Source organism: Homo sapiens, chromosome 18 (genome assembly GCF_000001405.40).
Source record: "Homo sapiens chromosome 18, GRCh38.p14 Primary Assembly".
In the NCBI taxonomy this organism is placed as follows: Eukaryota; Metazoa; Chordata; class Mammalia; order Primates; family Hominidae; genus Homo; species Homo sapiens.
Genome location: NC_000018.10, coordinates 74,423,015 through 74,448,303, shown reverse-complemented (window position 1 = coordinate 74,448,303; position 25,289 = coordinate 74,423,015). Strand labels below are relative to the sequence as shown.

At 48.6% G+C, this 25,289-nt stretch overlaps 1 protein-coding gene across 3 annotated transcripts in view, besides 1 other annotated feature; it reads left to right on the top strand.

The window, feature by feature from the left end:
- DIPK1C (divergent protein kinase domain 1C) overlaps nucleotides 1–13,529 on the top strand; it is a 29,874-nt gene extending 16,345 nt beyond the window's left edge. For 2 of the 3 annotated variants that reach the window (XM_017025551.3, NM_001044369.3), the window contains exons 2-4: nucleotides 1,021–1,698; nucleotides 6,188–6,352; nucleotides 11,585–13,529. In XM_017025551.3, coding sequence (XP_016881040.1) covers nucleotides 1,246–1,698; nucleotides 6,188–6,352; nucleotides 11,585–11,803 — 837 coding nt within the window. In that variant the 5' untranslated portion in view covers nucleotides 1,021–1,245 and the 3' untranslated portion in view covers nucleotides 11,804–13,529. Of the gene's footprint in view, nucleotides 1–1,020; nucleotides 1,712–6,187; nucleotides 6,353–11,584 lie in introns of those variants that run through there. The other variant, XM_047437299.1, reaches the window with a different exon arrangement.
- Nucleotides 2,633–3,134: an enhancer, noted in NCBI's record as "H3K4me1 hESC enhancer chr18:72112405-72112906 (GRCh37/hg19 assembly coordinates)". NCBI's record gives its function as "activates a minimal SCP1, AML or CMV promoter by ChIP-STARR-seq in primed H9 embryonic stem cells {active_cell/tissue: H9 hESC(primed)}" and the evidence as "EXISTENCE:reporter gene assay evidence [ECO:0000049][PMID:30033119]".
- Nucleotides 13,530–25,289: the final 11,760 nt, after the last annotated feature.

Below are 25,289 nucleotides of genomic sequence, written 5' to 3'. Positions count from 1 at the left end.
TTTGCTGACATGGAGGAAGATTCATTTGTCGGGGAAATGGGCGGGATTAGGAAATACACTCAACCCCTAATCAAAGTGGTCCCATGGTTTAGATTTTCTGAAAAACAAAAGAGAGAAGAGGATGACAGTCTTCTCCTTCCTTCCATTCTGCACTTCTTCCTTCCCTGCCTCTGGCAGGATTATCGGGCTGGACGGGCTTCTCAGGGAATTTGTGGTGTGGTGGGGAAGGTCGCCAGGTCCCCTAGTGGCTCCATCTTAAGGCCTCCTGAGGTTTAGGAGAAACACCCCATCCGGGGGCTCCTGGACAGCCTTGCTCACCGCCGCTCAGATGCAAACACTCCCTACTCTTTTATCCTGCATGGGTCCTCCTTGGTCCCTCCTCTTCTCCAGGTCACCAGCCATGAGCCCTGTGCCCACTCATGTGTCCTCTAGAGGCTTCTCCTCTAAACATCTGCAAACCTGCAGCCTGCAAGCTTTATAGGGCACTCCATTTCATGTGGAAAACAGTAAGCTCAAGGAATGTACTTGCAGGAAGGGTCATTACTGCGGTCAAGCCTGGGGGCAGATAGGGCTCCTGGGGTCCCCTCTGCTGAGACCTGACCTAGCTGCTTAGATGTGGGACTTAGAAGCTCTCCCAGTGACCCTGAAGTGTAGGCAGAGTCGAGAGCTACTGGCCTGGTCCAGCCCCTTCACCTGTTGGTTTCCTGGCCTCTGGCTTTCCCGGAGTCACCCAGCTGAACGATGGGAAGTCGTGCTTCCCGGCCGCAGGTGTCCTGATTCTGTAGACCCGTCCTAGGCCTGACTGAGTCGTGTAATGACTGTGAGCGGCTCCTTTAACCTTCCTCTGAATTACTCACTGGCTGAGTGGCCTCTGAGATCCACAGGGCTGAGGTTTCTCTGCACAGCTGGATTATCAGCGTCCTGAGGGCAGAGGCTAGGCTGTCCCCTTCCCTAACCCGAGCCGAGAGACGGATGGCACCAGGCCCTCCCCATGGTGACCGACTGTTCCCTTCCTTCCAGTGCCAGGACTACCAGGGCGGCACGCTGGCCGGGGACCTCTGCGAGGACCTGTGTGTGGCGGGAGAGCTGCTGTTCCAACGCTGCCTGCACTACAACAGAGGCAAGAAGGTGCTGCAGGCCGACTGGCGCGGCCGGCCCGTGGTCCTCAAGTCCAAGGAGGAGGCCTTCTCCAGCTTCCCGCCCCTCAGCCTGTTGGAAGAGGAGGCAGGGGAGGGTGGCCAGGACATGCCCGAGGCCGAACTCCTCCTGATGGTGGCTGGGGAGGTCAAGAGCGCTCTGGGCCTGGAGTTGTCCAACAGCAGCCTGGGGCCGTGGTGGCCGGGCAGGCGGGGCCCACGCTGGCGGGGACAGCTGGCCAGCCTGTGGGCCCTGCTGCAGCAGGAGGAGTACGTCTACTTCAGCCTGCTGCAGGACCTGAGCCCACACGTGCTGCCCGTGCTGGGTTCCTGCGGCCACTTCTACGCGGTGGAGTTCCTGGCCGCGGGCAGCCCCCACCACAGGGCACTCTTCCCCCTGGACCGGGCCCCAGGTGCCCCTGGGGGTGGCCAGGCCAAGGCCATCAGTGACATCGCACTCAGCTTCTTGGACATGGTGAACCATTTTGACAGTGACTTTTCCCACCGCCTCCACCTCTGCGACATCAAGCCGGAAAACTTTGCCATCCGGAGCGACTTCACAGTAAGTGGCGCAGGTCGGTGTGTTTATGTGCAGAGAACGGAGCTCTCGGGTCTGGAGGGAAGGAAATGAGAAGGTTTCTGAGCTCCTGGCCTGAGTTAGCAAACTACTGTTGCTTCTGCAGCCTTAGAGAACTCCCACCTACCAGAACACTTCCTTCCGGGTGTTAGTAAGGAACAGATGCATCTCCAGTGAGAATCTGAATGAACGGAGCCCACAGTGGGAGGCAGAGGCCGGGCCAGCTTCGTCCTCCCAGAGGGCTGCTCTGGTTCCTTCACCTGAGCTCTGTGGCTGCTTTGAGCTCACGTAACAGCAACCTCTCCTGCGGGCCTGTTTAACTTGTGCGGAAAACAGTCCGCAGGAGGCAAGGAGCTGCAGAAGACCATGAGGGAGGATGGCCTCCGGTGTGGAGAGGCTGCTCTCAAGCTGCCCATGCTCTGTGACAACATGTAACTTTTCCCAGTGCTTTTTGTCTGGAGAGGTTCCAGTCAGTTTCCATTCCGTATGTAAGACTTCTAGAGGAACAAATGGGGTTTTAGTGCCTTCCACAAGGGAAAGCCCTGCCAGGTAGAAATATCTGTCACCGCACCACGGGGCACGTGGGGCCAGGCAGCTGCGTGAGAACAGGGAGGTGTGCAAGAACGGCAGCAGGAGCCTCAGTGTCTCCGTGTAACACAAACCCCTCTCCCTTCACCCAGCTAGGCGAACACTGATGGGTCAGATTCATGCTGCTGCGATCATCCCAGTGCCCTCACGCTGTGCCAGTCGCTGGGACCATCCAACAGGAAGTAGTAATAAGACTGGCAGGCATGTCATGGGTGCGGGATGGGTTTGGGGAGGGCGGAGTGCTCTGCTCCCCCACCTGCTGTAACGAGTTCATTCTTAGGCGGCCAGTGCCGGCAGCTGAACGGCCAGACCAGCTTAGCTCGTCACCTGGGCATGCTGGTCACTGTGGAGCCTGGCTCATGGTGGGGTCGTGCTCTTCAGCATGGTTGCAACATAAAAGGACAAAAAGCAGGCACTGTGACTGCCAGTCATGGCCTCCAAGGCAGGTGGCATAGGAATGGCATGGTCTTCTGAAAGCAGCTGGAAAACTAAATTTGCTGCCGGTGTAAATCCCTTCTCTAAGCATGCCCTCATGCCTGTGAAGGGCATCATACATCTTACCCTCAGTGCTTTGTCCTAATGCCTTGCCCCCTGCTGCCCTGGAGGGGCTGACAACCTACGGGTGCCTCAAAGTGTGGCAAGGAAATAACTAGGAGGTTCTGGGAGGTTCCAGGAGGTCTGTGTGCTGGGCTGGCAGCTCTGGGGGAACTCACCCGCGTCTGCAATTCCCTGAGTGCCATGTGCGTCTCCCAGACACTGTCCTGATATGTGTGTTGGGGGGAAACGACCCACAGCCACACTAAGGCCTTGGGGAGGAAGTCAGGGAGTGTCCACGTACAACCCCCACCCCCAGCTCTGGGCAGCTGCGGGCCAGTTCTCGCCACTCAGTCACTCCCTTCTTCCTCCAGCAGGTATCAGTGGGCATCAATGAGTGGGACCCAGAAGGTGCTGTAATTGTTGAGGGAATTTCAAGGATATCTGCTTCTCGAAGGAGCTGGGGCTGATGGGGTCTGTGATGCCGAGTGGGCGACATCAGATGCTTTTACCTACATACTTGTTGATTATCCAGTTACTGGTTTGTGGGAGCCCCCTAAGTTGTGCCTCCAGTATCTTGCACACCATCAGCAGAAAATATTTGTTCAATGAAATCGTGACTATGCGTCCTCAACCTAGCCCCAGACTGTGTTTTGTCGGCTGGTGCTGCACCGCTCAGGGCTCTTACCTCCACTGCAGCCTTGGCCTGGACAAGAATAGGGAGGGGAGGGCAGGAGGAGTCCCCTTCACCAGTCCGGTTCTCGACCCTTCTTGCAGACCCTGAGGTTCAAGGAGTTATTTTACCCAAGACTGTACAACTTTTAAGTGAAAACCAACAGTATCTGCTTCACCAGAGAGCTCATTTAGAAATGCAAACTTTCAGATGCCACGCCAGACCTATTGAATCTGAAACGATGGGGTGGGAGCCAGCAATCCCTGTCTTCAAAACAAGGCTTCTAGTCGATTCTCATATGTGCTTAAGTTTGAGAGCTAGTGATCTCAGAGTCCCGGCGGGTGGGTCCTGCCTTTGAGCCCAGGTTGCTGGGCTGCCCTGGCAGAAGGAAGGGGCGCCTCCCAGCAGAGGTGTAAGAATTGGTCATTCACAGTCATTCTCTCATCTGCAGGGCAGGTGCCCACTTGCAGATCTTGAGAAAGTGTCCAGTGGCTGTAAATGAATAACTAGGAACCTTCATGATCTGAAACTATTGCCAGCCAGTGCTCTTTTCCAACAGATGGTATGGCTTCCTACTCCAGGGCCACAGTTTTTGGTGAAGAATGAAATAATTCTCATTCATCTTCCTCCTCTGATGCCAGGAGGAAGTCTGAAGAAGATGAGGCAAGTTAGGTAATTTTATGCAGGAAGGACTTTATGATTCTCCTGATATTAAGAAACATGATGTAGGTTTTTCTGTTTTTTTTTTTAATACTGTTCTTATTTTAGGTGCATAGGGTTATGTTTATAACAGCTGCAATCCATTCTAGACCCCATACACTAAAAATTAAAAAATAAACCTGGCTCTCCCTGGGAGATGAGAAGGAAACTATCAGAAATGGGAAGGAGAAGTTGCAAGAAGCTAAAATTCTGAGTAGGGGCCCAGGGGAGGCTGGGGAGATCGGCAGAAACCATAGAAAGAATAGAAGAGTCGTGTAGCCCCAGTAATGAATTATAAAGATGGGAGATTCATTAGCATAGTCCTTATTCACTTATTAACCAGAGTAAATAATGAAATCGGCTATTTGTTGTGGCTAAATAATGGGATAGGAAAGATTAAAATGAGAAGTTGTTTACAGCACCTGAATTAGTAATTAGACAAAACCCCTTACATAGAGAAAAGGTCTATATTGTTTATCTTCATTATTCTCCACATATTTTGAAATAAATAATTCCCCCTACTCTGTTTTACTAAATAATCCCTAAGAAACTTCATTGCCTTCTAGCATCAATCCTGAATGAAAAACTAAAACCAAAACCAAAAGGTGCCTCCCAGACTGCGTAGAATTGAAGAGGGAATGAACAACAAATGCAACCCTTTTTGAAACTCCCAGGGGGAGACAGAAAGGCTGGTATCTCGATGCTGACCTGTGAAGGCTTGTGAAATGCCACTGACTCCATCAAATTCATCAACTGTCCTAGTGGCTGTTTAATACCTCGAAGCTATAAACGGCTTGATTTGGGCAGATTCCAGGTTTTCTCAGGTTTGAGCTCATCTGTTTTTGTTGTTGCATCCAGGTGGCGGAGGAAGAGCTGCATAATTTAGAAGTTATTCTCTCTCTGGTTTTGAAGTCTGTTTGGTTGGATGCCAGGGAGATAAATCTGAAGTTCCAGGGGTCATCAGGTTCTCACAATGACAGTGGAACTCAGGCGTCGCTCCTGTTCAGGGCCTCTGCGTATCAGTCCTAATTCGATAACTTTGATATTTCCCCCACTTTGTCGTCTGACTGGTCAGTCCAAAGCCAGCTGACTCAGGTAACAGACGTGTCATGAAGAGAACGTAGGCACTGCCCGCCTCAGTTTCTCCATCACACCCGGAGACCAGCCACTCGAATGTGGCTTCCCTGGATAGCTTGTATTCACGGAATAGGTTCTCTGTATCTTACAGCTTTTACAGTCCTGAATCTTGAAGGTCACAGACCCAAGTGATAAGGCAGTAGAGGGGAAATTCATGTATAACGCCTCTCAGAGATTCTACTTGCAAAGCTGAGAAAGTGTCTAAAGATGAAAAGCAATACTTGTGGTGATAGTTCCAAATCCTGGGCTTTCACCCATGGCTGCAGAGGTCCTTTTTGCAGTTAAAGCCTTCCGCTGTAGCTATGACAGTTGCCTGTGTAAAAGAAAATGCGGCCGGGCACGGTGGCTCATGCCTATAATCCCAGCACTTTGGGAGGCCGAGGCGGGCAGATCAGGAGGTCAGGAGATCGAGACCATCCTGGCTAACACGGTGAAACCCCGTCTCTACTAAAAATACAAAAAAATTAGCCGGGTGTGGTGGTGGGCACCTGTAGTCCCAGCTACTCTGGAGGCTGAGGAAGGAGAATGGCGTGAACCCGGAAGGCGGAGCTTGCAGTGAGCCCAGATCGCGCCACTGCACTCCAGCCTGGGTGACAGAGTGAGACTCCGTCTCAATTAAAAAAAAAAAAGAAAAAGAAAAAGAAAATGCATGCAGACACTTTAGGGGATGAATCCACTCCCCAGGGCATGGCTGGGGCTTTCCTCTTGGCTCTTGGGACTTCTGGGATCACCTGTGACCTGGACAGTGGCACCCGCACGAGGTGAACAGAAGTTGTGAACAGGCTCCCTCTCTGCAGAGCCCACCAGTAGCCCTTTGATAGCCCCGTGCTGTTTTGATTACAGGTGGTGGCTATTGATGTGGACATGGCCTTTTTTGAACCTAAAATGAGGGAAATCCTTGAGCAAAACTGCACAGGAGATGAAGACTGCAATTTCTTTGACTGTTTTTCAAGATGTGATTTACGAGTCAACAAATGCGGAGCGCAGCGCGTAAACAACAACCTGCAGGTATGAGAGTCCGCCAGGGCTGGGGGAGGAGAGGGTGCTCTTTGGCTGTTTCTGCCCGCTAGCTCTTCAGATACCCTCAGTGGAGCTCAAGGTCGACCTTTTCAGGCCATCCATCTGGATCGATGTGGTCAATAAAGGCAGGACGGTGGGGATGGGACAATCGTGCTCTTGGTTGCCTGCCCCCAGGGTTGTTGGTCAGGCGACCAGGGGCATCTGATGAGGGAGTTCCCTGCAGAGCTGGCTGCTGGGCTTCCTCTTGCCCAGGCTCCACCCCACGTATCTACAACCTCTCATAAACATGGGCACATACACTATGAGAATCCTGAGACTAATCCATCAAAGATAATACTGAGAAGGGTGCAAAGCAGTCCTGAGACACTGGCCTAACTAGAGGTTAGACAGAAACCACCATCCAGACAGGCCAGAGGTCAGGACCAGGAGGTGGTTTAGACAGGAAGAAAGGAGCCAAGTCCAGGAGATCAGCTACAAGTGGAATACATACAGGGTTCAGGCATTCAGAGCTGGCGGGTCTCAGGTCCCCCATCTGGGGTTGGATCATCTCTCTTCTTTTGGCAGAAGCTGTCTCCTTCTGCCCTCACTTGAGGCTCTCAGGTGAGGGAGGATGCATCTGGGCCCACAGGTGCTGATCATACCCGGAGGAGGCCCCACAGTGTCTAGGCAGACCTTCCCCATGGCCTGGTTGCATGCGATGGCTTACAGAGGCTCTGGACCCACACTATCCAACCCGCTCCCCTAGTGGGCCCTCCACTGTAGCTTGTCCTCCTCATTCCTTAAACCTGAAAGGCCAATGTGAGCCCACTGCAGACCCAAAACGCAGGTAAGGTGGGAGCAGGAGAGGGGAGCCCAGCATGGTGCTGCATCAGCTGTGATGGGGGATGATTTGGGAAGGCTGGGACAGGTCCGCTGTTAACCTAGTGGTCCCAGCCAGGCCAAACAAACACCCCGACTCTGCCACCCCAGGGTCTACACAGACCTTCTGGGCCAAAGAATCACTGAGTAATTCCCCTTTCAGGAAGCCTAGGAATGTAGTGGCTTTCAGAGGCGTCTCCATCCCAGCCTCTTTAATGTGGACTCACACCCTTGATGGGGTTCGTCATGAAATCATTCTTCTTGAGCTGTGGGAAGAAGATAACTTTCACCTGAGCATCCACCGCCTTGCGATCCCAACCCTCAAAATGGGAACACAAACGCCTGCTCTTTGCAATGTAACGAGAGGCTGAGTTTATACCCTTTCTGTAGAAAGGGCTCTTACCGATTCATTAAGGGGCAAGAGGAACACACAGAAAATTGGCAGGAGAACAGACACCGAATACACAACCAATGAAATCCAAATGGCCAAACAACTTGGAAAAGTATTTTATCTTACCATTCAAAGACATTCAGATTAAAATCCAATGATAGTAAATTTCACTTACCAATTGGGAATAGTTCTTTAAATGCTATTAATTAACAGTTGAGGCTTCAGGGAAATAGAAAAGTGTCTATATTGTTAACGTGATTGTAATGAATTACTTCTCTCTTGAGGGGATGTGGCTGTTAGACATAGCCATGCTCTTTAGCTGAGCAATTTTATTTGTGCACATATCTGGTTATTGACTTTGAATACAGTCCTAGAAATGAAATTACATTTTCTTTAAGGATATGAGAAAATATGAAGCATTATTAGGTGAAAAAAATGCAGGTTACAAATTAATATTTACAATACGATCCCATAATCCTAGCACTTTGGGAGGCCGAGGTGGGTGGATCACAAGGTCAGGAGATCGAGACCATCCTGGCTAACACGGTGAAACCCCGTCTCTGTTAAATATACAAAAAATTAGCCGGGCGAGGTGGCGGGCGCCTGCAGTCCCAGCTACTCGGGAGGCTGAGGCAGGAGAATGGCGTGAACCCGGGAGGCGGAGCTTGCAGTGAGCCGAGATTGCATCACTGCACTCCAGCCTGGGCAACAGAGCGAGACTCCGTCTCAAAAAAAAAAAAAAAAAAGTATACGATCCCTTATATACCAAAATGTCAAAAGCAAGTATTTATGGAAGGTAGGATTACAATTTTCTTTATCTATTTTATATTTTCTTACTTTTTTACTTTTTATTTCTGTTTTATTTTATTTTAGAGACAGGGTTCGCTTCATCACCCAGGCCAAAGTGCAGTGGCACAATCATAGCTCACTACAGCCTCGAACTCCTGGGCTCAAGTGATCCTCTCACCTCAGCCTCCCAAATAAATGGGACTACAGGTGTGTGCCACCACATGTAGCTAATTTTTTAATTTATTTTTTGCAGAGACATGGTCTCACTATGTTGTCCAGGCTGGTCTCAAACTTCTGGTCTCAAGTGATCCTCCCATCTTGGCCTCCCAAAATTCTGGGATTACAGGCTTGAGCTACCACACCCAGCCTTAATTTTCTGCATTTTGAACCCAAATTACCCCCAAAATTCTTGCTCTATATAAATTTACAAATCAATGAAATGGAATAAAAACTGTCTCAGAGATAGACTAATGAAATACGGGTATTTAGCCCTGATAAAGGGGGCCTTGTAGACCAAGGCAGGGAGAGCTGGGTTGCATAGTGAACGGTGCTGGTAAACTGGCTGGCCAGGCATGACAAACACCATGGTAGCTCCCTCCTCCTAACCTCAGACTAGATTCCAGATGGCTCAGATACTTACACACAAAAAGATGAAATCTTTAAGGTACCAGAAAAAGCTGGGAGAGTTTCAAATATTATTCTAGTGTAGAGAAGGCCTTTGTAAGTATGAACAAAGCCTAAGAGAAACAGTTGACAAATTTAATTATCTTTCAGAAAAAAAAAAACAAAAAACAAAAACCCATGTTGGCATAAATAAAATTACAAAAAAAAGGAGCAAATTTAAAAGTTAAATGAGAAAATTTGCAAAACATTTGTAGTTCTTCTTATAGACCAGGAATGTAGAGGGTGGAAGGGGCCTTATTCCCTGCTGCTGGGGCTCATTCTCCCCAGGACTGGCTTCGCCAAGGGGAGACCCACTTTCCAGGGGCAGCATCTAGTGATTGGTTAAAGAGGGTGGGCCCAACACCAAGCCCCCCTATGCCTCACTAAGGGACAACTCCATAGAGACACCCCAGCCCCACACATTTACTTCTTCCTCAGTTCCATGGAGTGTGGTTCTCAAGGACAGGCCTCAAAGAATCCCTGCATGCAAACCTCCGTCTTGGAGTCTACTTCCTGGGGAACCAACCTAAAGCAAGGGCAATATCCTTAAGATATAAAGAGTATCTACAAATGAACACAACAAAGGCCAAAAATATAAACTTGACCATTCATTGAAAAGGAAGCACAAATAACTCTCAAACTAAGAAAGATGCAAATTAAACCATTTTCACCCACCTGTTGGCAAAATGAATCTGTGGCGTTTGCGTTGGAGAGGCTAAGGGAGGACGAGCAGTCTTGGATACATTGCCGGGGAGTGTAAATGAGTAGAAATTTTATGGAGTCAATTTAACACATCTATCAAAACAAAAAATGCACGTGCCCTTTGACCCAGAAATCCTATTTCTAGAAATGTAGTCACATGCACAAAATGCAATAGCATATATCTGCAAGACATTTATTGCAGTATTATTCATAATGCAAAAGTTATTATGCAACCTCAAGTCCATCAATAGGGAACTGGTTAAATAACTTACGACACACGCACACATTTTAGAAGTAGCCATTAAATCACATGGGATATCCTCATAAGAACTGATTTGGAGGGATGGCTGGGCGTGGTGGCTCATGCCTGTAGTCCCAGCACTTTGGGAGGCCAAGGCAGGTGAATCGCTTGAGCCCTGGAGTTCAAGAACAGTGTTGGCAACATGGCAAAACCCTGTCTCTACAAAATATACAAAAACTAGCCAGGCATGGTGCTATGCCCTTGTAGTCCCAGCTACTCAGGAGGCTGAGGCAGGAGGATCGCTTGAACCAAGGAAGTCAAAGTTGCAGTGAGCCAAGATGGCACCACTGCACTCCAGCCTGGGTCACAGAGTGAGACCTTGTCTCAAAAAGAAAAAGAAATCAATTTGGAGGGATCTCCCTCATATAAATGGGGGTGGAAATTTGAGAACAGTGTGTACAATATATTACCTGTGTGTAAAATGAAAGGAAAAGGAAGTGTGTATGTCAAAGAATGTCTCATTCTCAGAGCGGGAGCTGAGCATCGGGGTGAGGTGGAGCCTGAGATCACGGTCTAGCCTTAAGAACATTTTAAATTTTGCACATGAAAATGTATTCTCTATTTTAAAAAAACCATAATTAGGTTTTGAAAAGAATCCTTGCTTTTGCAGGGATTGTGAAATGGAAGTTGAAGGTTTTTGTCCTCTATGAAGCAGTAGCTCTTTACAATGGAGGCATTTGTTAATTGAGTCTGATATAAAGTGTGATGTAGAGAAATAAAGCATGATGCATCACGCAGCTCGCAGGTCATTTCTCCCAGCGTGGGGGAAGCTGTAGGAGCTATAAAACAAACAACATGTTTACAGGGAGAAATTTCTAGTGATCCTCAGCATCACTGAATTTCATACCCGATTAGAATTAAAGAGAGTGTCTAATTTTTACCTCTGCTCCTAGAATAACACATTTCACAGAGCCTTCAAAGAGCCTTATGCCTGCAGTCTTTTCTGTCAAATATGCCTTTGTTTCATGAGCCTTAAAGTGCTATACAGGCAGCCATACAAGTTCACACACTTCTCCCTCACGCACCATTTGGCCCTCTGGACAGCCCGGTCAGATGGTCATTGTTGTCACTAGGACCAGCTTGTGGATAAGAAACCTCATCTCCAGGTGGTAACAGCAAAGCCGGCCTCCCTCAGGCCTGCAAAGGACCAACTCCTTCTGCAGCAGTGACTGTCTGTGACTTCTGCTTCCCTTCCTCCCTAGAAATGTGTCCAGTCCTTTTACAGTGTCACCCAGAACTTTGTCCATCTGCTAGGGGGCTGGAAAGGGAAGTTTCTGCCTCACACAGATGTTGGCTTCTCCTCTCGGAGGCGTCTTTTGTTCATGGTGCTGAAGGGTTTAAGGGGCAGAAGTGAAGGCATGTTTCCAAATCGGATGGTCTCTGGAGTGTGCTCCCTGAAGGACGGGGGTGGGGGTGGGAGAGAAGCTGAAATCTGTTTCAGAACCAATCCTGGGCTTGGGAAGCTTTTAGGAGGATTTGCTGCCCTAAATTAACTGTCCACCCTTCTTTCCCTCAGGTCATCTGTGACAAAATATTTCGCCATTGGTTTTCCGCGCCTCTCAAGAGCTCTGCGGTCTCTTTCCAGCTTCAGCTGCAGTTACAGGAGGCGGTGCAGGAATGTGCAGACCCTGGGGTCCCCAGTGGGAACACCCGGAGAGCAGCCTCCAGCGTGTTCTGGAAGCTTCGCCAACTCCTCCAAGCCACACTGAGGGAGCTGCAGGAGGCAGAGAAGTAGCCACTCTCTGGCCTTAAACATGCTCACACAGGAAAAGTGACCTTGGCTGGATTTCTTCTGCCATTGTTTTAAAGATGAGCCATTTCCCCTGTGCTCTCTGGGGTGCCGTTCTGGTCTCCACATTGTGGAGTGGCAAGTGCTGCTGCCAGAGACAGTGCTCCCTCGCTCTCGTCCCACCCTGGCCTCTGACCTGTCGCCTTGTGTAAAATGAGATGAGGGAGGAGGTACAGACCTCCCTTCAGGAGGGCTCTCGGTCAGAAGACACCAACCTGTGTGCACTTATTCTCTGCAGAGAGCACTTGTACCTGGTTATCCCAGCACGAGTTCCAGCTGTTCTTTCCTGTAAATCGTTACCACGTTAAAAAGTGTGCGTGTGTGCATACAAATGATGTGTATGCCTGTGTCTGGGTGCAAATGAGCATGTGAGCATGTGTGAGTGTGCCCATGAGTGTCTGCATGTGTGTGAGTGTGCACAGGTGAGTGTGCACAGGTGAGTGTGGTGTGCTCATGAGGAGTATGAGTATGCCTGAGTGTGAATATGTATGAGTGTGAATGAGTGTGTGCACATGAGTGCACGGGTGTCAGCATGTGTATATAAGTGTGGGCATGTGTATGTGATTGTGTGAGTGTGGGCAGGTGAGTGTGTTGGGGATGTGGGTTAGGGTGGGGAGTGGTGCTTTCTCTAGTGTGTCCTCCGGAACATCTTGCCTACCTAGCAAAGAAGTGTGACCATTCTTTCGGAATTAAATACAATAAAAAGAAAATAAGCTGCATCTTTAGGGAAGGGAATTTGCATTGGAGAGCGTGTGTAACGGCAGCTTATAGTATTTTTCATTTTGTGGAATCCACCAAGGTTATGGATGGGTTTTAGGGCGCCTCGTATTGCAATACACCTTCCCCTGGGCAGGGACTTGTAGGTTGGCTTGATGCAGCATTGTCTTCACCTTCAGAGAAAATTTAAAGTAGAGCAAATGCTGAGGTCTGCATTGACTCCAGGCAGGACCAGAGACCAGCACCTTTCTTTTGATGGATTGAAGACCAAGTGATAGGCATCAAATCCTATGGTGGCATGATACGCTCATCAGTGGTGATCCCAAGGAGGCTTTTCCAGCAAAATACAGGCAGGGGGACAGGCCAGGTGAAGCCAGTGAGCTTTCACTTAAAGGGACCTGGTTTCTACCCATAACTGTGACCCACGAGTGCTCAACAAACCAACGGGTCACCCCTTTTCAGAAATCCCATGAAAAGGGAAATCGAGAAAGATGAGAGAATCAGGAAGTCATGTTGGCAGTTTACACATTAAAGAAGACAAATTAATCGGACGTTGTGAAAGTCACAAACTGACACATTCCAAATGGTCTCTTATCTTGGCCTGCAGCCCCTTTCTAAACCAGAGAAACGGGAATGCCTTCTTCCAGACTTTGGGGTCACATTTACTGACTCTGCCCTTCAGGGCACGCTGAGAAATGGTGTGTGAGGGACTAGCATGATCAGAGGCCCCCAGCTCTAAATTCTGCCTTCCCCAAAGACCTGTTGGAAGGCCCACTGCCAGCTGTTATTCTTACCCATCACCACTGGGGATCTTCCAAATGACACAGAGTTCCATAGAGGGCCTCCTCATCATGGACATGAAGACTCGCTTTGCAATTGTATTCTAGCAAGAAGGAAAAAACCCATGTCAGTCACCCTGTGGCACGAGCAAATTAAAACCAAAGTTCAACGGCCAGGCCTAGGACTAGTGGATTCCAAAGGAAAGGGCGGGCTTCGGGCTATTGGGTGGAGGCTCCGATTTTCCCCAGAGCTGCGCTGGGTGCAATGCCTTTCTGTGGTGGTCGGGGCATACTTTGGGCCATGCTCACCTTCTAGGCAGGTTCTCTACAAGCAAAAAGGTTTACAGGAAGACGGGTGTGAGATGGAGGGGGGGAAGGAGGGAAGCCACCAGGGCTTTGCCCTCTGTGCCCTTTAAACAGTGGGGTTTCGCTCTGGGAGGTCAGAGTGGGTCTTTTGTGGGTAGACGCTGGGATGCCAGCCATTCATTAGTGGCCTGAGCTCACTGACCAGGCAGCAAAGCCAGCCTGGAAAAGAGAAATAGTTAGTTTTCATTTCAACCAAAATGGAAACAAATTGTTTTTGTTTACGATGGAGACTGTGCAATATATAATTATCCAACACAATTGTGGTTTTATTGCTGAAAGGGAGCTGTTTTATCTCTTCCCTTTATGTTTGGCTACACAGTTACACACACACACACACACACACACACCCTTTTCCATCCCTGCCTGGGAATTCCCATTAGAGCAGTGGCTCTCAAATTGTGGTGAAGCTCAGTTTTGTTTTTAATTTTGAAACCTTGCAAATCAATGCTTTTATATAACATAATAAATTAACACTGTGTATATCAATATTTAGTATTTTGAATATGACAAATCGGTTTTTTTCTGGCTGATCTAATTGAGCAACAACCGCACTCGTAGAGGAAAATGTCTCCCTAAATGATTTCTATGTTTTGTTGTAATAACACATAGTAGACAGAACACTCTCAGAGACATGTTGATGGGATCTGAAAAAGATTATAAAGTAAACTCATCAAGCTCAGGCTATTCCTCTTTAAGTTGTATCCAAATTAAAGCAAATGGTGCTTTATTCATGTCCAGTCCTTCATCAGGATTCCATTGCCACAGTTTACCTTGACAAATTGTAGTTAAAACTTCATTTGATGAAAAGAAAGAATTCCATAATTGTATACTCCATTGGCTTACAGCTGACAAACCTTAATACACGTGGGTTGTATAGAAATCGTAGGTGGCTCAGGAGACAAGTTCGTGGATACCTAGACTGGTCAATGAGTCAGTTGGCCAATGTCAACTGGCAATGTCACATAACATCACAAACGTTTACAAACACTGCCAATATTGCTAAACCCTCCTCTCAATTCTCATCTCACATGAGACAAATTAAAGCTAACAGTTCAGAGACATGCTGCCTCCTAGAAGTCCACCAGGCTTAGCCTCCCATGCATCCTGCCCCATACTAAGGCCCAGCCTGCTCAGCCCTTCCAGAGTACCTATGATGAACATCCAGGACATTACCTTAAATTACTGGAAGAATAACTCTTTTAAATCTTGATTTGGAAGCTATTCTTTGAACAGCAGTAAGTGGAGGAGTTGGGTTGGAGATTTCTAAAACCAATGACCGCATAAAGATACTCTCGCATTCACCACGCTAGCCCCTGTGGTTGGCAAACAAATGCCACTCTGGCTCTAACATCTATTGGTTCAGTCAGAAAAAAGAAATGCGCCCACCCGGCTCACATTCATGGGCTGCTCCTCCTTAAAACCACCCTTTTACTTCTGTACCTTAAAAAAAAAAAAAGCTATCTGTGTTACAGCTGAAGCTGATGGAGCTGATTATTGATTTTCATTTAAAAACTTACCTCTCAGAGTCCCTTCCTTATCTTCTGAAATGGGCATAATCACCTCGATCACAGCCTATTGTGAGGATTTAAGGAGATGATGAGTACCAAGCCCTTGGCACAGTGTCTGCTGCAGAAACAAGCACAGGAGTGTTCCTCGGTAGCAGTGGACAAATGCCAATGAGAAGGACTCCAGGTAGGGGACCAGCGTCTGAATCCCACTACACCTGCACTGTCTCAAGAAGACCCAGTGGGTTTTAGCTTTGCATGACATTGCACCTGGAGCCACTCTCTGTGGATGCTGGTCTTGGCTAAACGGTTCATCCGGGTTTTCCTTATTGACTTAAAGCAGCGGTCTCCAACCCTTTTGGCATCAGAGACTGGTTTCATGGAAGACAATTTTTCCACAGATGGAGTAGCGGGGGTGGATTCGGGATGATTATTGTGTACTTTATTTATATTATTATTACATTGTAATGCGTAATGAAATAATTACACAACTCACCATCATGTAGAATCAGTGGGAACCCTGAGCTTGTGTTCCTGCAACTAGATGGTCCCATCTGGGGGTGATGGGAGACAGTGACCGATCATCAGGCATTAGATTCTCATAAGGAGCATGTAACCTAGATCCCTCACATGTTCAGTTCACAGTAGGGTTCACAGTCCTGTGAGAATCCAATGCTGCTGCTGTTCTGACAGGAGGCGGAGCTCAGGTGGTGATGTGAGCCATGGGGAGGGGCGGTAAATACAGATGAAGCTTCACTCACTCATCCACTGCTCACCTCCTGTTGTGCAACCCAGATCCTGATAGGGCACAGACCAGTACCCGTCCATGGCCGGGTGTTGGGGACCCCTGCATGAAAGGCGACCAGAGAGTGCATCCAGCTGGACGCTGCTATCAGCGACATTGACATCCTCAGCTAGCTTCTGTTGCCGGGCCCCAGCACACTTTGATAGGTGTTGACAAATTTTTCTTGAGGAAGACTACACCAATTTACCCCCCTGCCCACATGCTTTTCTCATATCCTTACAAAAACTGGATATTATTGGTTGATTCTGTTTCTGCCTATTTAATAGAAGGGGGAGACACAGATCTTATCAATTCACATTTCCACTCACTGGTGAGGCTGTGCTCATGTATTAGCTACATGCGTACTTTTTTGGTGAAGTGTGCACATACTTTGCTCATTTTTCACTAGGCTGTCTTTTCAAGAAATGATTAATCCAGTATATATGCTGCAGATATTTTCTTCCAATGCATGGCCTGTGTAATTATTGACTGCCACTGTCAGTGAGGAAACAGATGACTGAAGCTGGCTACCCTTTGCTAAGAAACATTTTTTTTTCACTGTTGAGTACACTTTAGGGTAAAAGGCTGCCTGCCTGTTTTTCACCCCCAAGTCGAAGGGCTTTCATGCTTGTTTTCTAAAATGCACCCAAGGGACCTGTCTGCTCCTGGGCCACGCCCTCTGCTGGACTAGCTGCTTTTGCTTTGTGAAGTGAGAATACCCAGGAACGATTTGTCCCCACTCTTGGATCCTGAAACCTGCCCTGAGGGCTTTCGATTCCCAAGGTTGGCCTTCCTTCTGCTCCTTGTATTTTTCCAGTGGGGCGTAGTTCACTCTTGCACGTTGCTGAGGCTCAGCCTTTCAAGAAATCCTACAGGACACTTTGAAGAGCAGAGAAAGGCGTTTGCTGGGCTCCACTTTGAGTGTCTCGTCTGAGCAGCTGACGTGGCCTGTGGTGCTGGGCCCATATTAACTGCAGTAGGGATGGCAGTGAAGCAGCTACATTGTCTGAGATCTATGTTCCTGGGGTTCCTTGTTGTGCGCCAGGAAAATTTAGAACACGGACACACATGAGGAGTTTAGGAGCAGAGGTTTGATAGGCAGAAGAGAAAGAGAAACAGCTCTCTCCACAGAGAAAGGGGTCTCCAAGTGGAAAGGACCAGCTGGTGGCCAATGTGCTGGATTTTATAGTCTGGTTTAAGAAGGGGGTGTCTGATTTACAGAGGCCTCACAGATTGGTTGGATCAGGTACGACATTTACATAGTGAGTGGGGAAGGCTGGTCACCCCACCCTAATCTTATTATGCAAATAGACTTTCCAGTGGATCGGGGCCATCTTTTCTGCTCTTTACTGTACACGTGCTGGCAGAGAAGGGAAGATGGAGTTGCTACCCTGGAGATATCTAGTCCCTTGCTCCCATCGGCATTCACTCATACAGACTCCCAGCTTGCTTGTCTCTGTTTGCAGCTCGACTTTACAGGCTGCTCGTTGTTAGAAAATGATTTGGGGCTGCTTTGTCATTAAAAAGAAAGGCCTTACCGAGGACTCCCTGCCCTCACTATCTGCCTAAGTAACTTCTTCTTAACTCATGTATCAGCAGGTTTGGGAGGCTGAAGAAAAGACCCAGAGCCAGCACACAAGACGTAGAGTTCATTGAGGGGAACTTTTATACAGAATGATCCAGCAGTGCTGGGCTGGACAGGAGAACTGCAGTCGCTTGCAAAAGGCATGCAGTTTATATAGCACCTTCACTGAGCGCCCTCCCAGGAACAACCTCCACCCGGCAACCTTCATTTAACCCAAAACAAAGGGCCTCTATCCTTGGTACTGCTCGCATTCTGTGATGTGGGCTGGGGGCTCAGATGTTCCTCTGAGATAAGGAATGAATCTCCAGGATGGCCACTCCCAGATTCCTTGGCTCTGAACGGAGCTAAGGAATCATGCATACATGGCCATTCTGAGGGTGTGCTTAAGTTATCACTGTCAAGTGCACCTGCCATACATGGCCAGGAGTCCAGGAGCTCACAAGCAGAGCACTTTCTTCCTGTCTTTGGAAGTCTCTGTGCTCCAGAAGCTCACCCACCCTTCTCTGCTTCTCCTGCCTCTTCCTTGGGTTACTCTGGGCTCAGACTTTACCTTTTCCTCCTCTAAAGTCACTGGCAGGCTGGGCATGGTGGCTCATGCCTGTAATCCCAGCACTTTGGGAGGCAGGCGGATCAACTGAGGTCGGGAGTTCGAGACCAGCCTGGCCAACATGGCAAAACCCTGTCTCAACCAAAGATACAAAAATTAACTGGGTGTGGTGGGACACGCCTGTAATCCCAGCTACTCGGGAGGCTGAGGCACAAGAATCACTTGAATCTGGGAGGTGGAGGTTGCAGTGAGCTGAGATCATGGGACTGCACTCCAGCCTGGGTGACACAATGAGGCTCTGTCTCAAAAAAATCAAAAAATTAAAGTCACTGGCATCCATTGTATTTCCTACATCTGGTGGCTAAAACATGAACTCTGAGATGAAAATCTGAAATTCTTTTCTCAGCAGCGTCGTCTATCAGTTTATTGATACTGGGCAAGTTACTTAACCTCCCGGTGCCTTAGTTTCCCCATCTGCAAGCACATTAATAATTGTAATTGCCTTATCTCACCAGGGCTGTTGTGAGGGTTTAATGGGACAGTGGACATATCAAGAGAGATCAGTAACTGGTGAGTGCTGACTATTTTAAACCACAAGGTTGGCTTTGATGTAGGAAGTAGTCTCTCCCGCTTCTCTTCCTAACCCCTTCTCACAGCACCCTTGAACTCCTTTCTTGGAACAGACTCTGTTCAGTGATCTAATGCTGCAGCGACAGCCCCATCCCCAGCCCTCTGGAAGCCACATCACACAGGGGAATCCAAACACGGGCTCCAGCTGACACAGGAGCCTCCTCAGCCAGCAGAGTTTGGGCCCCACCTCCTGTCTCAGGAAAGAAAGCCTCAGGGGTGGGGAGCCTGGTACATGTCTTTCTATCACATTCCACACGTGATTCTGATGCGTATCACCTGTCTAAGAACTTACCGAGCTTCCCTGCCTGAGAATGGTGGGCTCTGCTGTGGAGCTGTGGACTGCAGAGAACCTTCTGGCTGTGCAGCTGAGAACTGAGTCAATGCAAGAGCTCCTGGCTCCTGCTTGACCTCGAGCAGCTGAGGTTAGCAGACGGGCAAAGCCTGCAGTTCCTCTGGAGTGGAGGAGGCAGCAGCTTGGTTGTTGTAGACGTCATTTGCCCTGTGGGCAAGAGCCAGTTGTCCCTGGGCAAGCTGGGCAGCAGGATGGAGGGTTTCCCTGCAGAAGCGGCCCTGCCAGCCTGCAGTCTCTAAGTTCATTTCTCTCTCCCTCACCTCCCTGTTTGGCCACCTTGGCCGCTCATCCTTCTCCACAGGAGATGGGCAGGAGGTCGGTTTGTCCCACTGCGATAACAAAGCTTCATCACTCCAAGCGAGTTTAGAAAGATGTTCCCAGATAGGCTCAGGGAGGGAGGACTGTAGGCTAAGGCCTTAATACATGAGATGGACCAGGGTACAGTTGTGGGAGGGGCCTTGGCTTACCTGATAGAGACTCTGCCCCTGATCTGAGAGGGTCACAGCTCCCAGGTTCTGTGTGGAGGGTCTGAGGCAGGTGGGAGCCATGCTGCATGCCAGGGAAGTATAATTAGGGAAGATGCTGTCTTTGAAAGAAAAATCAATGCCCTTGAACTCATTAGCCAGCAACGTCACAAACATTTAGAACAAGAGGCTTTAGCTAACATAGCTAGTGTGAAAAGGGCAAACAGGCAAACCTATTTATGAAAACTTAAAATAGTTTACCTGAGTTGTAAGAGCTATGAACTTTAATTCACTGTGGAGGCTCAGAAATCCCAGAGAAGAAAAGCAACATCTCTACTAAGAACAATTTATAGCCTGGAAAAAAAATCCTGATGTTCTGCCTTTCATAATAATGTAATTTATGCAGTTTCTTGGAAGGAAAGTAGCCAAATTCTTAAATGCTTCTTTAATAGCATAACTTCAGAAGTGCTGTAATCTGGATCACCGAGGGGTATTTATAATCCAGTTTGCTAAGGGAAAGAGTGTGCACACTGGCTTGGTTGGGTCCATGGGCACCAAGAGCAGGCCGACTCTCCCAGACTCTGACCAAGGAGGTCTTCTTTCTTGTTCATGATCAGTGGTGGGACCACAAGGCCTGGGCTGGACCAGGGCATCATTTTTTCCAAGAGCATCTCTGTTAAGGTGCAACAGCCTGCCAGCTTCTGTAGCAACTGCCTCTGGTTCCCCACTCTTTGCTCCTGCTGGGTTTAGAGCTCCAAGTGCTCACTCCAGCCTGCGGGGCATCATTTTCCTCTCTGCTGACACCAGCAGAAAACCCGCGGCCTGTGTTTGACTGCTTCTGGTTAAGAAGCCACCCCCAATCCCAACACACACACACACTCACGTGCACATTTGTACATGCACACACACTCGTGCAAGCCCACACATGCACACACACCATCACACTCATGCACGCATCCTCCTTCTCACACGCATGCTCACACACGCACAGACACCATCATAATCATGCACACATCCTCGCTCCCACGCGCATGCTAACACATGCACACACACCATCACACTCATGCACGCATCCTCACTCCCACGTGCGCGCTCACACGTGCACACACACCATCACACTCATGCACGCATCCTCGCTCCCATGTCCGCTCACACGTGCACACACACACCAGGAATCTAGTTCAGAACTGCCGCTTGCCTCTATGGCTCTAGCACCGTCAGGGATTCCATGAATCAATGGCCGCCGCCTCATTCTGCCTCTCTCCTTCCCACATCATGAACGATACAGACCTGTTTACCCTTCCTAACAGGACTGGCACCCATTTCACTTAAGCGACACTCTGCCCAAGTCACTGAAGGTTTTCTGTCTGTGGGAAAACAAAGGAAACCTACTTTTCAAAATTGCTACTGGTGGAGAGTCACCAAAAATAGGAAACTATGAGTTTTACCTAGCACCAAAGCAACAGCGCAGTCACGCGTTCCAGAATAATCAGCCCTTTACAGAATTTGGGTGGGAAACTAATAACATTAGCATCTGAGATCATTGTATAGTTCATGACACATTGTTGTCATCTGTTTCCCTTTGTCTGTGAGCACTCGCCAAGCTGACGGTGCGTGGACACTGCCCATCCGAGTGGTACCCACAGACCCCCGGGCTCTCTCCCCATCACTGCCCCTGCAGTCCTATTCCATGTTCAAGGTGAAGCCAAATACAATTTTATTTCCCAATCCACACTCCCCAGTTCCATAAGAATCAATCTTCCTTCTTGTTTGGTTCTTAACAGGCTTCACAAACTCAGTTCTCCAAAATGGAATGTGTCAGCTCCCCAGACCAGGGGCTCCTCAGGGCTTTCAGACCCCTGTGCCCCATCCTGAAATGGGGGTCCATCAACACCATCTCTTCCCCCATCCCCAGTTCCCCCACAAGCCCATCAGTGCTTTCCAGTTCACTCCATCCATTCACCTCCACCTACCCTGGCCCAGCCCCACTCTCCTCTGGTACCTGGATCAATGTGGCAGCCTCGTCAGCAGCCTCCACAAACCCGCTCTTAGGTGGAGAAGTCCAAGGCTCTGTTCACAGCCTTCCCTCCTTCAAACCTGATTCATTCCTTCCACACATTTTTATTGAACACCTACAATGTGCCCGGCACCCTGGGGACAGATCAATGAACAAAACAGGCCAAAAATCCATGTCCTCAAAGAGCTGATATTCCGATGCATGGGGATGGGTGTGCTGAAGGCAGATAATAAATAACAAATAACAAATACAGCAAACAGCAAGTTATGTTTACCTTAAGCTAAAACATGGTGAGCACTCTGGGTGGAAGCAGAGCCAGGTGGCCACGTAGGGATATTGTCCGGGGAGGAGAGCGTCTGGGTAGGGACAGAGCCTGGCAAAGGCTGTGAGGCTGGACCGTGGAGGTGGGAGCGGTGTGGCAGAGGAGCTCTCTGGAGGCCAGAGATGAGCAGAGGTTGATGAAGAGGTCAGGGGAGGTCATCCCACAGGCTGGGCTCTGATTCTGAGGGTGGGAAGTGGAGAGGGGGTTTGGAGACTGTGTCGAGAACAGGCCTGGGGGAGGCAAAACAGGAAGACCAGGGTGAAGGCTTTGGTGGGAGCTCAGGGCATGGCTGGGCCCAGCGAGGCCCCGTCGGGGAGTGGCGGCCTCTGCATGGAATCTGCCGACAGACCAGGCGTGGGCTGAGAAAGGACCCCGGCAGCACCCCATGTTTTGTGGCCACTGGAGCGAGAAGATGCAGTTGTTCTTCATTGAGACTTGGTGTCGCTGGGGAGACCAGGAGCCCGCTGAGTTTTCAGCAAGGCAAATGTGGGTGTCTGTCCACCACTGAAGCAGAGATATTGAGTAAACCGAGGGGTATTCCCGGGGAGGAGGGCTAGAGACATCAAAAGTGGTCAGCGGAGGACAGTGTGAGTCCTCAGCAGTGACTTTCCCATTGCCCCAGGACTGGACCGAGACAAGCCCTCTCCATGTTACACTTTCTACCCTGCACCCCACCCACCTTCTTCATCCCCTCCCTGGGCTCTTCCCCAGGGAAGTTATCCCATGCTGCAGGCTTAGCCCCTCTCTCCAGGGTGGCCTCAGCTCCTGACGCTGCCTCCATAGCACCGCACAGTCGGTCACCACTTATGTAAGAAGCCCCGCCAGGGCTGGAGCCACGTCTGTTTGCTTCTTTTTATATTCTCCCACCAGGCACAAGGCCTGGCCTGGAGGAGCTGTGCAATAAACACAGTGGCTATTGACTGAGATGAGGAACCTGCTGCAAATGTCTCCTCCTGAGATCTGTGAAACTCAGGAAGGTGACTTGCTAGGCTCAAAACAGTCATCAAAATGTTCCCTCCCTGATGGGAAACTGACTTCCTGATGGGAAACTGACTTCCTGACAGGAAACTGACTTCCTGATGGGAAACTGACTGACTTCCTGATGGGAAACTGACTTCCTGACGGGAAACTGACTGACTTCCTGACGGGAAACTGACTGACTTCCTGATGGGAAACTGACTTCCTGATGGGAAACTGACTGACTTCCTGATGGGAGACTGACTTCCTGATGGGAAACTGACTGACTTCCTGACGGGAAACTGACTGACTTCCTGACGGGAAACTGACTTCCTGATGGGAAACTGACTGACTTCCTGACGGGAAACTGACTGACTTCCTGATGGGAAACTGACTTGCCCACGGGTGATTTCTAGGCCTGCACACGGTGGAACGGGGCAGAGGCACACAATATGAGGGGTATCGTGACAATTTTCATAATTTCAGGATGGCTGCACAGTTTTCACACTGCTCCTCCGCACGCTGCTGCTTGCACCCTGTACTGTCTGTGCTCTGCAGACTTCTTTCCCATTTGAAGCCCAAGTTTGTCCTGTAGAAGGGGCTCCCCGTGTGCCCGCAGGGCTCAGGAGGATGTGATTTGCGGTTTGCCCTGCCCTGTTTACAGGGTCCTTGCTCTACCCCCGGTCTCACAGGTCGTTGTCTCCTGCTGGTTCTCACTCTGGTGCTTTAAACTTTACTTCTTGGAGTGCAAGGAGTTTGAGCACGCATGGGGAAAAAAGGGGAAACTAAGGCCTGTCCCTGAGCCCCCTCATCCTATTTCAGCCAGAACATTTTTCCTAATGTTCTTAGATACATGTGGCCCAAGTCAGCTTTTATTTGAAAAGCGATCTGTCTGTTTTAAAATAAAAAGTTGGAAACATTTTTCTGGAGCTTCGAGGCCCACTCCCAGTGACTGTGAATCTGAGGCTGGAAGCCACCTCCTGAGGCCAGCAAGGCTCTCCTTGTCCACAGGGTTGTGCCACGCTCATCCTGTCCCTTACTGAGGGACTCAGCACCATTCCAGAGACACACTTGCCCAAGTCAGGAAAGCCGCACGCACAGCAGACTCAGTGCTGGATCTCACAATTACTAAAAATCGACAGCAATCAGCAGCCTACCCACCCCTTGTTAACTGTCCCTCAACAGGGGGTGGGTAAGCAAGGGGCTGTTGTCCCAGCCACACCAGGGGTGGGAAAGTGGGACCTCCCAAGAGAAAGGGGACATGGGAATTGAAAGACGTCCGGGATAGATCATTACATGGAAAAAGCAAGCTGCAGAACAGTTGGTAAATCCCAGTTCCATTTTCGTTAAAGAAAAAACAGTACATCTGTCGGTGCGTGTGTAGCTATACAAATATCTATCTCTATAAATTTTAAACCCTGAAAGGGTACATACACAAAACTACAATTCAATTGTTTCTGAGAGGGAATAAAGGGTGAATGTTTACTTCTTAAGTCGTAATCTTCCGTATTGGAAATTTCTGACTTTTTTTGATAATAAACATTTTAAAAGTCAGTGTTTTCAAAGATATGAGTCAGTTTTTGAAGTTTCCCAGGGAAACTTATTTTGAACTGTTAAATTTAATAAGATTATGGGCCAAGGCCTTGGAAAAAAACACGTCTATAAAAATCAAGTTTATTTTTTGCTCATATCCTTAGTACAGAACTGTTCTGTGAGTTGGGAAGCGAAGCAACTCTGCTCTTACATCCAAAATATGCACTACCTATCTTGGAGTAACATCAGAGGCACGTTCACATTTGTGTGCATGTAAGAGGCTTGATTTCATGTTGTCAGGAACATAGAACTTGTATTCGTGACTATAACCCTGAATAAACCCAGTTTCTACGATATGCTATGCTCATAGTTGAAAAGAAAATTCCATTATTTGAATCTACTGCTCATTCTCAAAATGTTTTAAAATTCAAGGCACTATTTACTCACATGTTGTCTGGATAGAATTTGACTTGACTTCTGATATTGCTTTTTCTTTGTTTTGCACCTTTTTGGATGTAATTAATTCCTATTTTATTTCATTTTTTTGAGCGGAAGAAAAGCAGGTAACAAGGATAAGTAGGCTGTGTACCTAAATATAAGTAGAGACAAATGATATGTCTTCAAAATCTCTTTCTCTCTCTACAAAAATGGGGTAAGTCTGTGGTTGCTGTTGCAGCATATGTCGCAGTGTAATTGACGAAGGACGTTGGATCCCTGCAGCCTTTTTCTGAGACTCTACAGATACGGATAGGAAAAAAACTGAGATGTGTCAGGCAAAGAAAGCAGGTTTGTAAAATTTGTGATAGTAATTTGCTAAAATCTCTTTCGAGTCTTTGATACTTTGTTTTGCTTTGGTTTGATTTTTTATTTTTCT